The sequence below is a fragment of the Homo sapiens genome, chromosome 13, assembly GCF_000001405.40.
Source record: "Homo sapiens chromosome 13, GRCh38.p14 Primary Assembly".
NCBI lineage: Eukaryota > Metazoa > Chordata > Mammalia > Primates > Hominidae > Homo > Homo sapiens.
Window position 1 is genome coordinate 51,982,591 of NC_000013.11, and position 15,085 is coordinate 51,997,675.

Sequence of the window (15,085 nt, forward strand, 5' to 3'; positions counted from 1 at the left end):
GAGAGCTAATGGGCCCTAAAAGACTAACATCAGCTTGTGGCAAGATGGCCGAATAGGAACAGCTCCAGTCTGCAGCTCCCAGCGAGATCAACGCAGAAGGAGGGTGATTTCTGCATTTCCAGCTGAGGTACCCAGCTCATCTGGTTAAACAGCGGGTACAGCCCATGGAGGGCAAGCCAAAGCAGGGTGGGGTGTTGCCTCATGCAGGAAGCACAAGTGGTTAGTGAACCTCCTCCACTAGCCAAGGGAAGCCGCGAGGGACTGTGCCATGAGGAATGGTGCACTCTGGTCCAGGCACTACACTTTTCCCACGGTCTTCACAACCCACAGACCAGGAGATTCCCTCGGGTGCCTACACCACCAGGGCCCTGGGTTTCAAGCACAAAACTGGACAGCCGTTTGGGCAGACACCAAGCTAGCTGCAGGAGTTTTTTTTTCATACCCCAGTGGTGCCTGGAATGCCAGCAAGACAGAACCGTTCACTCGCCTGGAAAGGTGGCTGAAGCCAGGGAGCCAAGTGGTCTAGCTCAGCGGATCCCACCCCTACAGAGCCCAGCAAGTTAAGATCCACTGGTTTGAAATTCTCACTGCCAGCACAACAGTCTGAAATCGACCTGGGATGCTCAAGCTTGGTCGGGGGAGGGGCATCCACCATTACTGAGGCTTGAGCAGGTGGTTTTCCCCTCATAGTGTAAACAAAGCCACAGGGAAATGGCAACTGGCTGGAGCCCTCCGCAGCTCAGCAAAGCTACTGTAGCTAGACTGCCTCTCTAGATTCCTCTTCTCTGGGCAGGGCATCTCTGAAAAAAAGGCAGCAGCCCCAGTCAGGGGCTTATAGATGAAGCCATCTCCCTGGGACAGATCACCTGGGGCAAATGGTGGCTGTGGGTGCAGCTTCAGCAGTCTCAAAGGTCCCTGCCTGCCAGCTCTGAAGAGAGCAGTGGATCTCCTAGCACAGTGCTCGAGCTCTGCTAAGGGTCAGACTGCCTCCTCAAGTGGGTCCGTGACCCCTGTGTCTCCTGACCAGGAGACACCCCCCAGCAGGGGCCAAAAGATACCCCATACAAGAGAGTCTGGCTGGCATCTGGCAGGTGCCCCTCAGGGACAATGCTTCCAGGAAGGAACAGGCAGCAATCTTTGCTGTTCTGTAGCCTCTGCTGGTGATACTCAGGCAAACAGGGTCTGGAGTGGACCTCCAGCAAACTCTAGCAGACCTGCAGCAGAGGGACCTGACTGTTAGAAGGAAAACTAACAAACAGAAAGGTATAGCATCAATATCAACAAAAAGGACGTCCACTCAGAAACGCCATCCGAAGGTCACCAACATCAAAAAGCAAAGGTAGATAAATCCATGAAGATGGGGAGAAACCAGCGCAACAAGCCTGAAAATTCCAAAAACCAGAATGCCTCTTCTCCTTCAAAGGATCACAACTCCCTCGCCAGCAAGGGAACAAAACTGGATGGAGAATGCGTTTAACAAATTGACAGAAGTAGGTTTTAGAAGGTGGGTAATAAAAAAACTCCACCGAGCTAAAGTAGCATGTTCTAACCCAAGGCAAGGAAGCTAAGAACCCTGAAAAAAGGTTAGAGAAATTGCTAACTAGAATAATCAGTTTAGAGAGGAACATAAATGACCTGATGGAGCTGAAAAACACAGCACAAGAACTTCGTGAAGCATACACAAGTATCAATAGCCAAATCGATCAAGCAGAAGAAAGAATATCAGCGACTGAAGATCAACTTAATGAAATAAAGCGTGAAGACAAGATAGAGAAAAAAGAATGAAAAGGAACAAACAAAGCCTCCAAGAAATATAAGACTATGTGAAAAGACCAAACATAAGTTTGACTGGTGTACCTGAAAATGACGGGGAGAATGGAACCAAGTTGGAAAACACTCTTCAGGATATTATCCAGGAGAACTTCCCCAACCTAGCAAGACAGGCCAACATTCAAATTCAGGAAATACAGAGAACACAACAAAGATACTCCTCAAGAAGAGCAACCCCAAGACACATAATCGTCAGATTCACCAAGCTTGAAATGAAGGAAAAAATGTTGAGGGCAGCCAGAGAGAAAGGTCAGGTTACCCACAAAGGGAAGCTCATCAGACTTAACAGCAGATCTCTCTGCAGAAACCCTACAAGCCAGAAGAGAATAGGGGCCAATATTCGACATTCTTAAAGAAAATAATTTTCAACCCAGAATTTCATATCCAGCCAAACTAAGCTTCATAAGTGAAGGAGAAATAAAATTCTTTACAGACAAGCAAATGCTGAGAGATTTTGTCACCACTAGGCCTGCCTTACAAGAGTTCCTGAAGGGAAGCACTAAACATGGAAAGGAACAACTGGTACCAGTCACTGCAAAAACATACCAAATTGTAAAGACCATAGACACTATGAAGAAACTGCATCAACTAATAGCCAAAATAACCAGCTAGCATCATAATGACAGGATCAAATTCACACATAACAATACTAACCTTAAACGTAAACAGGCTAAATGCCCCAATTAAAAGACACAGACTGGCGAATTGGATAAAGAGTCAAGACTCATTGATGTGCTGTATTCAGGAGACCCACCTCATGTGCAAACACACACATAGGCTCGAAATACAGGGATGGAGGAAGATTTACCAAGCAAATGGAAAGCAAAAAAAAGTCGGGGTTGGAATCCTAGTCTCTGATAAAACAGACTTTAAACCAAAAAGATCAAAAGAGACAAAGAAGGGCCTTACATAATGGTAAAGGGATCAATGCAACAAGAAGAGCTAACTATCCTAAATATATATGCACCCAATACAGGAACACCCAGATTCATAAAGCAAGTTCTTAGAGACCTACAAAAAGACTTAGACTTCCACACAGTAATAGTGGGAGACTTTAACACCCCACTGTCAATATTAGACAGATCAATGAGGCAGAAAATTAACAACGATATTCAGGGCTTGAAATCAGCTCTGGACCAAACAGACTTAATAGACATCTACAGAACTCTCCACCCCAAATCAACAGAATATACATTCTTCTCAGCACCACATTGCAGTTATCCTAAAATTGACCACATAATTGGAAGTGAAACACTCCTCAGCAAATGCAAAAGAACAGAAATAATAACAAACAGTCTCTCAGATCACAGTGCAATCAAATTAGAACTCAGGATTAAGAAACTCACTCAAAACTGTAAAACTACATGGAAACTGAACAACCTGCTCCTGAATGACTACTGGGTAAATAATGAAATTAAGGCAGAAATAAGTTCTTTGAAGCCAATGAGAACAAAGACACAACATCCCAGAATCTCTGGGACACAGCCAAAGCACTGGTTAGTGGGAAATTTCTAGGACTAAATGCCCACAAAAGAAAGCTGGAAAGCTCTAAAATCAACACCCTAACACCACAATTAAAAGAACTAGAGCAGCAAGCGCAAAGAAATTCAAACGCTAGCAGAAGACAAGAAATAACTAAGATCAAAACAGAACTGAAGGAGATAGACACATGAAAAACCTTTCAAAAAAATCAATGAATCCAGGAGCTGGTTTTTTGAAAAGATCAACAAAATAGATAGACCGCTAGCCAGACTAATAAAGAAGAAAAGAGAGAGGAATCAAATCGATGCAATAAAAAATGATAAAGGAGATATCACCACCGATCCCACAGAAATACAAACTACCATCAGAGAATACTACAAACACCTCTAAGCAAATGAACTAGAAAATCTAGAAGAAATGGATAAATTCCTGGACACATACACCCTCCAAAGTCTAAACTAGGAAGAAGTCGAATCCCTGAATAGACAAATAACAAGTTCTGAAATTGAGGGAGTAATTAATAGCCTACCAATCAAAAAAAGTCTAGGATCAGGTGGATACACAGTCAAATTCTACCAGAGGTATAAAGAGGAGCTGGTACCATTCCTTCTGAAACTATTCCAAACAATAGAAAAAGAGGGACTCCTCCCTAACTCATTTTATGAGGCCAGCATCATCCTGACACCAAAACCTTGCAGAGATAGAACAAAAAAAGAAAATTTCAGGCCAATATCCCTGATGAACATCGATGCAAAAATTCTCAATAAAATACTGGCAAACCGAATCCAGCAGCACATCAAAAAGCTTATCCACCATGATCAAGTCGGCTTCATCCCTAGGATGCAGCAAGGCTGGTTCAACACATGCATATCAATAAACGAAATCCATCACATAAACAGAACCAATGACAAAAACCACATGATTATCTCAATAGACGCAGAGAAGACCTTCGAAAAAATTCAACACCCCTTCATGCTAAAAACTCTCAATAAACTAGGTACTGATGGGATGTATCTCAAAATAATAACAGCTATTTATGACAAACCCAGAGCCAATATCACAGTGAATGGGCAAAAACTGGAAGCACTCCTTTTGAAAACTGGCACAAGACAAGGATGCCCTCTCTCACCACTCCTATTCAACACAGTATTGGAAGTTCTGGCCAGGGCAATCAGGCAAGAGAAAGAAATAAAGGATATTCAAATAGGAAGAGAGGAAGTCAAATTGTCTCTGTTTGCAGATGACATGATTGTATATTTAGAAAACCCCATCATCTCAGCCCAAAATCTCCTTAAGCTGATAAGCAATTTCAGCAAAGTCTCAGGATACAAAATCAATGTGCAAAAATCACAAGCATTTCTATACACCAATAACAGAAAGCCAAATCATGAGTGAACTCCCATTCACAATTGCTACAAAGAGAATAAAATACCCAGGAATACAATTTGGCAAAGGATGTGAAGGACCTCTTCAAGGAGAACTACAAACCACTGCTCAAGGAAATAAGAGAGGACACAAACAAATGGAAAAACATTCCATGCTCATGCATAGGAACAATCAATATCGTGAAAATGGCCATACTGCCCAAAGTAATTTATAGATTCAATGCTATCCCCATCAAACTACCACTGACTTTCTTCACAGAATTAGAAAAAACTACTTTAAATTTCATACGGAACCAAAAAAGAGCCCAGATAGCCAAGACAATCCTAAGCAAAAAGAACAAAGCCGGAGGCATCACACTACCTAACTTCAAACTATACTACAAGGCTATAGTAACCAAAACAGCATGGTACTGGTACCAAAACAGAGATATAGACCAATGGAACAGAACATGGGCCTCAGAAATAACACCACACATCTACAACCATCCGATCTTTGACAAACCTGACAAAAGCAATGGGGAAAGGATTCCCTATTTAATAAATGGTCTTGGGAAAACTGGCTAGCCATATGCAGAAAACTGAAACTGGACCCCTTCCTTACACCTTACACAAAAATTAACTCAAGATGGATTAAAACTTAAACGTAAGACCTAAAACCATAAAAACCCTAGAAGAAAACATAGGCAGTACCATTCAGGACACAGAAATGGGCAACAACTTAATGACTAAAACACCAAAAGCAATGGCAACAAAAGCCAAAATTGACAAATGGGATCTAATTAAACTAAAGAGCTTCTGCACAGCAAAAGAAACTATCATCAGAGTGAACAGGCAACCTACAGAATGGGAGAAAATTTTTGCAATCTATCCATCTGACAAAGGGCTAATATCCAGGATCTACAAGGAACTTAAACAAATTTACAAGAAAAAAAAAACAACCCCATCAAAAAGTGGGTGAAGATTATGAACAGACACTTCTCAAAAGAAGACATTTATGCAGCCAACAAACATGAAAAAAAGCTCATCATCACTGGTTATTACAGACATGCAAATCAAAACCACAATGAGATACCATCTCATGCCAGTTAGGATGGCAATCATTAAAAAGTCAGGAAACAATAGATGCTGGAGAGGATGTAGAGAAATAGGAACACTTTTACACTATTGGTGGGAGTGTAAATTAGTTCAACCATTGTGGAAGACAGTGTGGCGATTCCTCAAGGATCTAGAACCAGAAATACCATTTGACCCAGCAATCCCATTACTGGGTATATACCCAGAGGATTGTAAATCATTCTACGATAAAGACACACGCACACATATGTTTATTGTGGCACTACTCACAATAGCAAAGACTTGGAACCAACCCAAATGCCCATTAATGATAGACTGGATAAAGAAAATGTGGCACATATACACCATGGAATACTATGGAGCCATAAAAAAGGATGAGTTCATGTTCTTTGCAGGGACATGGATGAAGCTGGAAACCACCATTCTCAGCAAACTAACACAAGAACAGAAAACCAAACAGTGCATGTTCTCACTCATAAGTGGGAGCTAAACAATGAGAACACATGGACACAGGGAGGGGAACATCACACACTGGGGCCTGTCGGGGGTGGGGGGGCTAGGGGAGGGATACCATTAGGAGAAATACCTAATGTAGATGACGGTTTGATGGGTGCAGCAAACCACCATGACACGTGTATATCTATGTAACAAACCTGCACGTTCTGCACATGTACCCCAGAACTTAAAGTATAATTTTTTAAAAAAAGATTAACATCATACATGTTTGAAAACAAATGACTATGAAGACAAACATCACCTCATTTGATCTTCAAACATGACCCAGGAAGGTTCGAGTACTCTACATAGTTTTCTCCATTTTACTGATAAGGCAAACTAATTATTAAAAGTAGTGTACATATTCCCCCAAGCCCTTCACTCTGGCCTTGAATCCTGTTTCACAATGGTCCAAAAAGACTTTCCACTGACAATTATTTAAATTTTATCTACTTTAAAAATGAAGGCATTCATTCAAACACATAGGAGGGCCTACTATGTGCCAGGGCTATGTGTGCATTAACCCAATCTCTGCCCTTCTGAGGACAGACTGTAAACTTTCTGGGTAATTCTGTGCAAATGACTATTCATTGCCTATTTGCTTCTCTCAACCACAGCAAGGGAAAATATTAACCCTTACTGAGAAACAAAATGTAGCATATCTGACACTTGCCTAAAAAAAAAAAAGTGAGTAAAATTAAAAACAAAATTAACAAACCTCACCACATATGTACATACAAATATGTTATTTTCAATATACAACAAAATGAAATTTAGAAATTCACAAACTATAAGACAGGGTATCGTCTCCAAGGAGCACTTCACAATATTATCTTAGAAAACCCATTCACAATCTCGTGCTACACAGCTTTATAATCAACCGTTTCAGAGAATGTGCTGCTTTTAATTTATGTCTATTGTAACAATTATTCCATCTAACTTTTATCAATTAACAGCATTTTCCTGCTTCAGAATCTTCTCTAATAACACTCTGTATTTCAAGCCTTTCCCAACAAAGAGGTTTTATTTATTTATTTTTTTTACTCTGTACTCCAAGGAGTATTGGTTTCTGCCTAGAATTATAGGTATGACACATAAAACAAATGTATTCCTTTAAGACATGTACAAACCTAATGTTTATAAATTAGCACTACTCTATAAATGCATGATGGGAAATGCTACTTAAAATAATCCTTAGAAAAAGAAATATTAAGTATCTAATAAATCTTTTTTAAAATTAAAATAACATTTATTATAACATTAATAAAATAAATGTTATTTTATTAATTTAAAAAGTCTGATGATACAGTAAACAAGAGTATAAGGAAAAACAGTTCTTAACCACTGTTTGTAGAAAGCTAAATTTTGCCTAATTGCTCTTCAAAAAGTATTACTGCTTTTGTCCTAGAAATTCCACTTCTGGGAATTTTACCATATAGATATACAATTACATATTAATGTTCATTGCTACATTCAAATAGTGAAAAACTGGAAACCATCTCAATATTCTTCTATAGAGAACTGTCTACATAAAATATAGTCCATCGAACAGAAATCTATGTCATGGTTTTTTAAAAATAGGTGAATTTACATGTATTGACGTGGAAAGACTTCCATGATGTTAAAAAGAAAAAAAAGTTGCAGAACTGTATTAAGACAGTCCTCTTTATCTAAGAGAGGAAAAGAACTACACTTCTATACTTTGCTACTAATGTTTGTATCCAGCAGATACTACTTTTAGGAAAAACTAAATTCAAGAATCCACTTCAAATGGTCTCTACAAAAGCAAATAAAATAATAGCGAATGCTGATGATTCCATAATGACAGATAACTTCTTTAAATGACTAGATCACACCACTTCATTTATTGTTTTTCCTTTATTTTAGAAGGGATATATCTGTGCCAGCCAAGTCATCCTGATTTCAACTAGGCAAAAATAAAACCGAACCCACCCTGGCACAATGGCTCATACCTGTAATCCCAGCACTTCGGGAGGCCGAGGCAGGTGGATCACGGGGTCAAGAGATTGAGACGATCCTGGACAACACGGTGAAACCTCATCTCTACTAAAAATACAAATATTAGTTGGGCGTGGTGGCATGCACCTGTAGTCCCAGATATTCAGGAGCCTGAGGCAGAAGAATCGCTTGAGCCTGGGAGGCGGAGCTTTCACTGAGCCAAGATCGCGCCACTGCACTCCAGCCTGGCGACGGAGCGAGACTCTGTCTCATATTTAAAGAAAAAAAAAAAAGAACCTAACCACCACTTACCTAAGAACAAAATTCCATATTCTGGTCTCTAAAAATGCTAAGTCCACCACGTAACAACCTTATAGTCACCATCAGTTCAATGTGTCTAACATCAATCCTCCCTGCTGCAGTATAAATCTACTTCTAGTTCATTCATTTGTTCACTCAGTCAATAGCTTGATACCATGGACTGAACTCTGTCAGATACAGGATACGATGACAAATTAAAACAGCAGCCAGTGTGCACCTGTAGTCCCAGCTACTCAGGAGGCTAGGGTGGGAGGATCACTGATGGGAGGATCCCTTGAGCTCGGGAGGTGGAGGTTGCAGTGAGCCAAGATCTGCGGCAACTGCACTCCAACCTGGGTGACACGGTGAGACCCTGTCGGGAAAAAAACAAACAAAAAAAAACAGCAGCCAAGCTTGGCCAAAGAAGTCAACAGAGTCATGAGTAAGGAGGCTTAAGCAGTTGTTTCTGGAAACAAAGGGTAATTCTGTATACAGCTGGAACAACTTTCTAGTAACCTCCAACCATTTCCCACCTGCCAAGACAAGTAGAGGAGAGAGTTAAGGAGGGGCTAGAGAAGGGAGAGCCTCAGTGGCAGGCACCCATTCCTCTCCAGCTCACCATTCTGGGCCTGAAAGGTTGTCTGTGGAACCTTTGATAGGAACACCTGGGCCAAAGCACGGAGCCCCTGACTTCTACTCTGGTTAGCGTGCTCTTATGGAGGGGATTTGCGGGGAAGGCCCTCCTCCCTATTTCCCCCTTTTCATAATTAATTCCTAGGAACCTCACCAGGCTTAGCCCTGCTCACATCAGCAAACAGAAACTTTCTAATGTGGGAGAGGAGCGGGCGGAAATGTGCCCTCCAGACTCTGAGCTTTTACCAGTTATGCCTTTTAAAACAGATCTTTTTCCCCTCTCTGCCTGTCTGAAACATAGAAGAATCAAAGAAACAGGTTTTCCAAAGTCATGATTTCATTCTACATTGTACAGAATGTACTCTGCATTGTGTAAGAAATGTAAAAAAAAAAAAAAAGAAATGTAAAATATAAGCAAACAAATCTGCTAGGCATAAACAGCAATTTTTAAATGTTTTATTCATAGCAGCGGCCTTTCTGAACAACGTGCCACCTAAAAGCTAACTTTCCATTCACTATGAATTAGCAGTTTTCCAATACTTTCAAAACTCTATTTTGCCCAGTGTATTAAATAATACTTCAGTGTTCCAATGGAAAAGCAAGGACTTGTCATCAGACGGACCTGGGATTAAATTTTTCAGGAAACCTAAGCTCTCACTCAGCTTTCTCGTCTGTTAAAGGTGGACTGATGATACCTACTAAAGTTGTTAAAATGATTAAGTGACAAGAGTAAGGTTCCTACCATATACCAAGTGCTAAATGTTAGTTCTCAAGGTGCAAAGCTGATTTATAACAGACTTTGAGTCACAATTGAAATTAACTTTTGGGTTGGTTTTTATAATCATAAACCAGCTACTGCAAATTTCTTCTATTTAAGGATAACTAAATTCTTTCTAAAAATTAATCCTAAATTTAAAAGTGGAACTGCAATAAAAAATGATTATATAGGCCAGGCAGGGTGGTTCACGCCTGTAATCCCAGCACTTTGGATGGCTGAGGTGAGTGGATCACTTGAGCTCAGGAGTTTGAGACCAGCCTGGGCAACATGGGGAAACCTCATCTCTACTAAAAACACAAAAATTAGCTAGGTATGGTGTCAGGTGCCTGTAGTCCCAGCTACTCTGGAGGCTGAGGCAGGAGAATCACTTGAACCCAGGAGATGGAGGTTGCAGTGAGCCAAGATTACGCCACTGCACTCTATAGCCTGGATGACAGAGCAAGACTCTGTCTCAAAAAAAAAAAAAAAAAAAAAAAGATAATACAGATTTACATATATATTGACATACAGAAATGTCCACAAAATATTCAGTAAGAAATGCAAAGTATAAGATAGTATGTATAATTTGATCCCATATTTATTTTAAAAATATACATTATGTAAACATAAACATACATACACGTATACACATTCATATTTGTTGGGAAAACGACTGCTTTTTCTTTATACTTTTTTGTATTCTCCTCGTTCCATCGTAAATTTGTTTTTTATATAGAGTATATGTTACTTTTATAATCAGAGCTTTAGAAAAAATAGAGCTGCCAGGCACGGTGGCTCACATCTATAATCCCAGCACTTTGGGAGGGGGAGGCAGGAGGATCATTTGAGCCCAGGAGTTTGAGACCAGCCTGGGCAACATAGGGAGACCACATCTCTACAAATAAAGAGAAACTGGAAATGGTGGCATGCACCTGTGGTGGCAGCTACTCAGGGGGCTGAGGCAGGAAAATCATTTGAACCCGGAAGGTCGAGGGTGCTATGAGCCATGATCATGCCACTGCACTCCAGCCTCGGCATCAGCAAGAGACCATGTCCCAAAATAAAAAACTTAGAAAAAAACAAACAAAGGAAAAATAGAGTTGCAACTGTGCTCAGATAGATTACTGGGTTATCACAGTCCTGTCCAGACCTTCAGACAACACATCAAACATATCTCAGAGTTGGAAATTCTTCTGAAAAAGCATAATTTTGGCAGAAGTAACACTATTTTGCATTTGCATGATAATCTACAAAGTGCTTTCACAATCATATGAGGCAGGATTTATCATCCACTTTGCAATGAAGAATCTAAAGGAGAGTGTCCAAGACTCACCTGCCCAGGTCCCACAACTTGTGTTGGGTCTGCACTCAGATCCCCTCCACCAAGGCCTCTTCCCCAGCCCTCCTTTCTGAAGAGGCTCCCCTAGTCAGCTTCAGGTCGCCCCACTAGTCACAGATTGGTGCTGGCCTTAAAAATCACCAGCACACGTCATATCTCAAAACTTCAGATATAGGCTGGAAATTGTAAAGTAACAGTTTGGACATTTTTTAAAAATGCCTCAAGCATTTTCACCCCAACATATTTAGTATTTCACTATTTTAAACACATGGCTAAAAGTATAAATGTTCACCGTATATTGTATAAACCGGCAACATATGAAAAGGCTGATTAAAAGATTAAACGCTCTGTCACTCTTTAAAATTCTAAGTGATTTAACACATTAGTTTAGCTACTGGCTTAATACAGTTTAAAGAGACATAAAATGAAATTTATAAAACTACTTTAGAAAACAAAGTAATTAAAATTGTATCTATCACCTCACTTCCCTCCCCTAAAACCACTCGAACCTCTGTGTAGAAGCTACCCAAACGGGCAGCCACTGAATAATTCTACATTTCATATTTTTAAATTTGCCTAGGAAAAAACTTTAAAGGAGTCTCTTGGAAATTTCCACAAATTCAGAACACCAAAAAACACTTTTAATATTTTAAAATAAATACCTCCGAGCATAGTTATATCCTTGGTTAAAAACCTGATAGCAAAATGCAGAATCTTTAAATACTCAAAAGGAGTTTCTGTCTTCAATATCCAAGTACCCTGTGATTTCAACGTATGTAAATCTCTTGCATAGCACATTTGAAAGTTCTTTTCACAAAATTTCCTTTAGTCTTTGGGACTTTAACCAATGAACAGCACAAAAATAAGTCTTAGAGGAAGCAAAGTACTTATGAAACCTTCCTTTGTATCTAACTAGTAAATGCCTTCAAAAGTTGTTTTTTATTTTCGTCTGACTAGGTCAATGAAGAAGACCCTGTACACACCACCAGTCTGCTCAGAAATGCTGCTAAAAGGCACCATTTTTACAAAACGTTATACTGTCTTACTTTTGGACATGACCTAACCTTTGGAGTAACAAAACTTCAACTTGCTTAAGAAAAGGAACTTCATTTTGCAGCATTTTCAAAATGTTTAGTTAAAATGTACAGATTAACAAAATAAGGTATACACTATAAAACATATTAGTAAAAAGAAGGAAGGATTCATTTTTGTTTGACTTGCATTGTGGAAAACTTTTGCTTCATAGAGTCTTACAAAATATTCTGAAAATAAAAAGCAACAAAACCCAAACTTCCAAGCCATGGTGTAATTAATCAGCTTGACTCCTGCCAGGTGCTACATTCACACTCTCATTCCGCTCCCCAGACCTCTCCCCAATATCCCACACAAGAGACATGGAGAGAAACCTCCATCTTTAAAATGGGTCCAGGCCCTTCCAGGCTTTTTAGCCCATCTGCAATTGCACTGACCTGACTGGAACTCATTTCCCAGGTTCCATTCAAAACTCTCTGTGGAAATTCTCCTTCCTCTGACGGTGGAGTGCCTTCCTCCACAGTAGACACTGGCCTGGCTGAATGCCTAACCCCAGGGCTCTTCCTAAAGGACCACTGCTTGTGGACAGACAGCAGGGTCACATGTTGGTCACTCAGAGTTGCCAGGAAGGACTGCTCGGGGCTCTGGGGCACATCACCCCTGGCTTTCTCTATCGCTGAGTTCACGGCCACGGCTTCCCTCCTCACTAAAGCAGTTCACCTTCAGCAGACTATTTGGTTGTGTTAGAGAGAAATGCTTTAGAAGTGTCCTCCTAATTAGCAAGGGGAAGACACCCTTCTACTCCTGACCCAGCCCAGGAGAGGCTGCCAGCAGTCTTCAGCCTGGCAGCAAGCTTTGGGAACTTGGGCAGGCTGCACAGTACTGCACCTATTTGCTTTTGTTTATCTACAACCGTCCCAGCACTTGGCACCCTCTCACTCAACACACTGTGTGCAGCACTGCAGATCTTTGCACACAGCCCATGCACACCCTCACCCAGTGCACACTGGACACCCGGCCAAGGTGTCCATGAGCACAACATGTAATCACTTGCCAGAGTGCAGCAGTTTCCTTTTGGCCATGTGCACTCCTAGAAACCCAGTCTAGAGGCAGGAGAGATATGCCACTTCCTTTTATTACCAAACTGCTAGCACTTTCTTGGAATTGCTTCAGCTGCCTCTTCCACAGCTCCAATGTTGGCAGCGTGCAGAATACTTGGTGAGAGAAGTATTTCCTAGGCAACATGACTTGTATTTTCAAGAAGGTGTAAGAAAGTTCCATGTTTCCTGTAGCTTTGTTTTCCCTTGGACCAAAGGCTTGACTTCAGTAAGAACTGACTGCACAAACTGGCTAACAAGGCTCATCTGTTTAAGCAGCACCACGGCCAGGAACTAAGGCACAATTCAGGCTTCTCAGGCTACCTGCTGTTCCACATGGGGATTAATAGGAGGAGACACACGACACTGTGGTAATTCCAGCAGCAGCCTGCTCTGTCGGGCAGCGCTGCCTCCATTCCCACCCCACCACTCGGGGACCAGAAGGAGAGACCACATCCCCCATGGCAGGAACAGCTCCACCACAGCCACTAATTCCAGCCATACCTCCTGCTGCAAGTGAGTGTGGAATTGAATTCAGGGTAAAATGATCACTCTGTCTCTCCGTGTTATTCTTCACAGCAGAATGTACCAGCAGGGGGTCACTAAGGTGTGCACCCAGTGAGGGCACTCAGAACACATGCCCAAGGTCACTGAAGGCTGCCTCCTCATAGGTTGCCCACAGTGACGCTTCCTCCCCCATTAACACTGTCATCCCTGCCCCAAGAACTCCTGACTGAGAGATCTGTTCTCTTTGAGGAAAGGCAACACCAAGGCTGGTCCATGCACCAAAGCCCCTTCGTGCCTGCTTTATCCTGCTGCTTCTTACCACACTTGTGGCGGTTGCTATCACTTCTAAAGCACACGCTGAGCAACCAACTCCTCCAAAATGTGTCTGGGTTTGTTTCTTATCTCCTAAGTGCTCAGCCAAAAAACAAAGAACCTGCCTCAATTTCCAAGAAATGTCATTCAAACCCATTTTCATCAAAGGAAAGGTATATTTGATGCTAAAGGCCTTGAGCCCCAACCCTAGCCTCCCTGCCAGAGGCCAGCACTGTGGGGCTGTGCAGCTGCCTCTATGGGAGCCCATGTAAATACATCAGGTGCATCTGTGATTGCTTTCTAGTGATTCTTCAGGTCTTGCTTATCTATGTCTCTCCCTTCCTGAAAGGATCTATCAGGAGCCTCACATGCCCTGCTGACCACCTGACATTTCATTTATGGGGCATCAGAAGTAGATTTTCCAGGTAACTGAAGCTCATCGCTTTGAGCATTAGATTTTTTAAAAATTTTGTCATTCTGGGTGAAAATATTCCCCATAAGTGACATCTATTTTTCCGCTGCCTTTTAAAGTGAGTTATTGAACATATTTTAACTTTTCCTTGGTGACATGAGATCATTATAAATATAAATGCTTCTTCTGTGCTGTGCCTATGAATAGCTAATAAGGAAAATATGTTGGGATCATATGTCCCACATGCTTTTAAATAATCTATTCTGTTAGCTCCATGAAATTGAAATACTTCACCATTCAAACCATTTCTAGATGGTGGCTCAGACCCAGAAGACAGCCAGAAAAGGGGGCTGGGGCCAGGTTAGAAAGGGCAGAGTCTAGACTTTGTCCTGTGGGTGGTGTAGAATCACCAGGAGTTTCTGAGGAGAGAACTCACAGAATCATATTTGTGATCTGGAAACAGTTTGGGCA

At 41.2% G+C, this 15,085-nt stretch overlaps 1 protein-coding gene across 37 annotated transcripts in view, besides 1 other annotated feature; it reads right to left on the minus strand.

Moving 5' to 3' along the window:
• The window catches only part of ATP7B (ATPase copper transporting beta), a 79,464-nt gene that overhangs the window by 49,922 nt on the left and 14,457 nt on the right, over positions 1-15,085 (minus strand). Inside the window, exon 2 of one of the 37 annotated variants that reach the window (NM_001406518.1) lies at positions 8,240-8,330. The exons of the other annotated variants lie outside the window; for them this stretch is intronic. The gene's annotated coding sequence lies outside the window, so the exon portion shown is untranslated. The remainder of the gene's footprint in view (positions 1-8,239; positions 8,331-15,085) is intronic. 37 annotated transcript variants of the gene reach the window in all.
• Positions 13,443-13,737: a silencer, noted in NCBI's record as "tiled region #15635; HepG2 Repressive non-DNase unmatched - State 14:Gen5'". NCBI's record gives its function as "represses a minimal TATA promoter and a strong SV40 promoter by Sharpr-MPRA in HepG2 cells {active_cell/tissue: HepG2}" and the evidence as "EXISTENCE:reporter gene assay evidence [ECO:0000049][PMID:27701403]".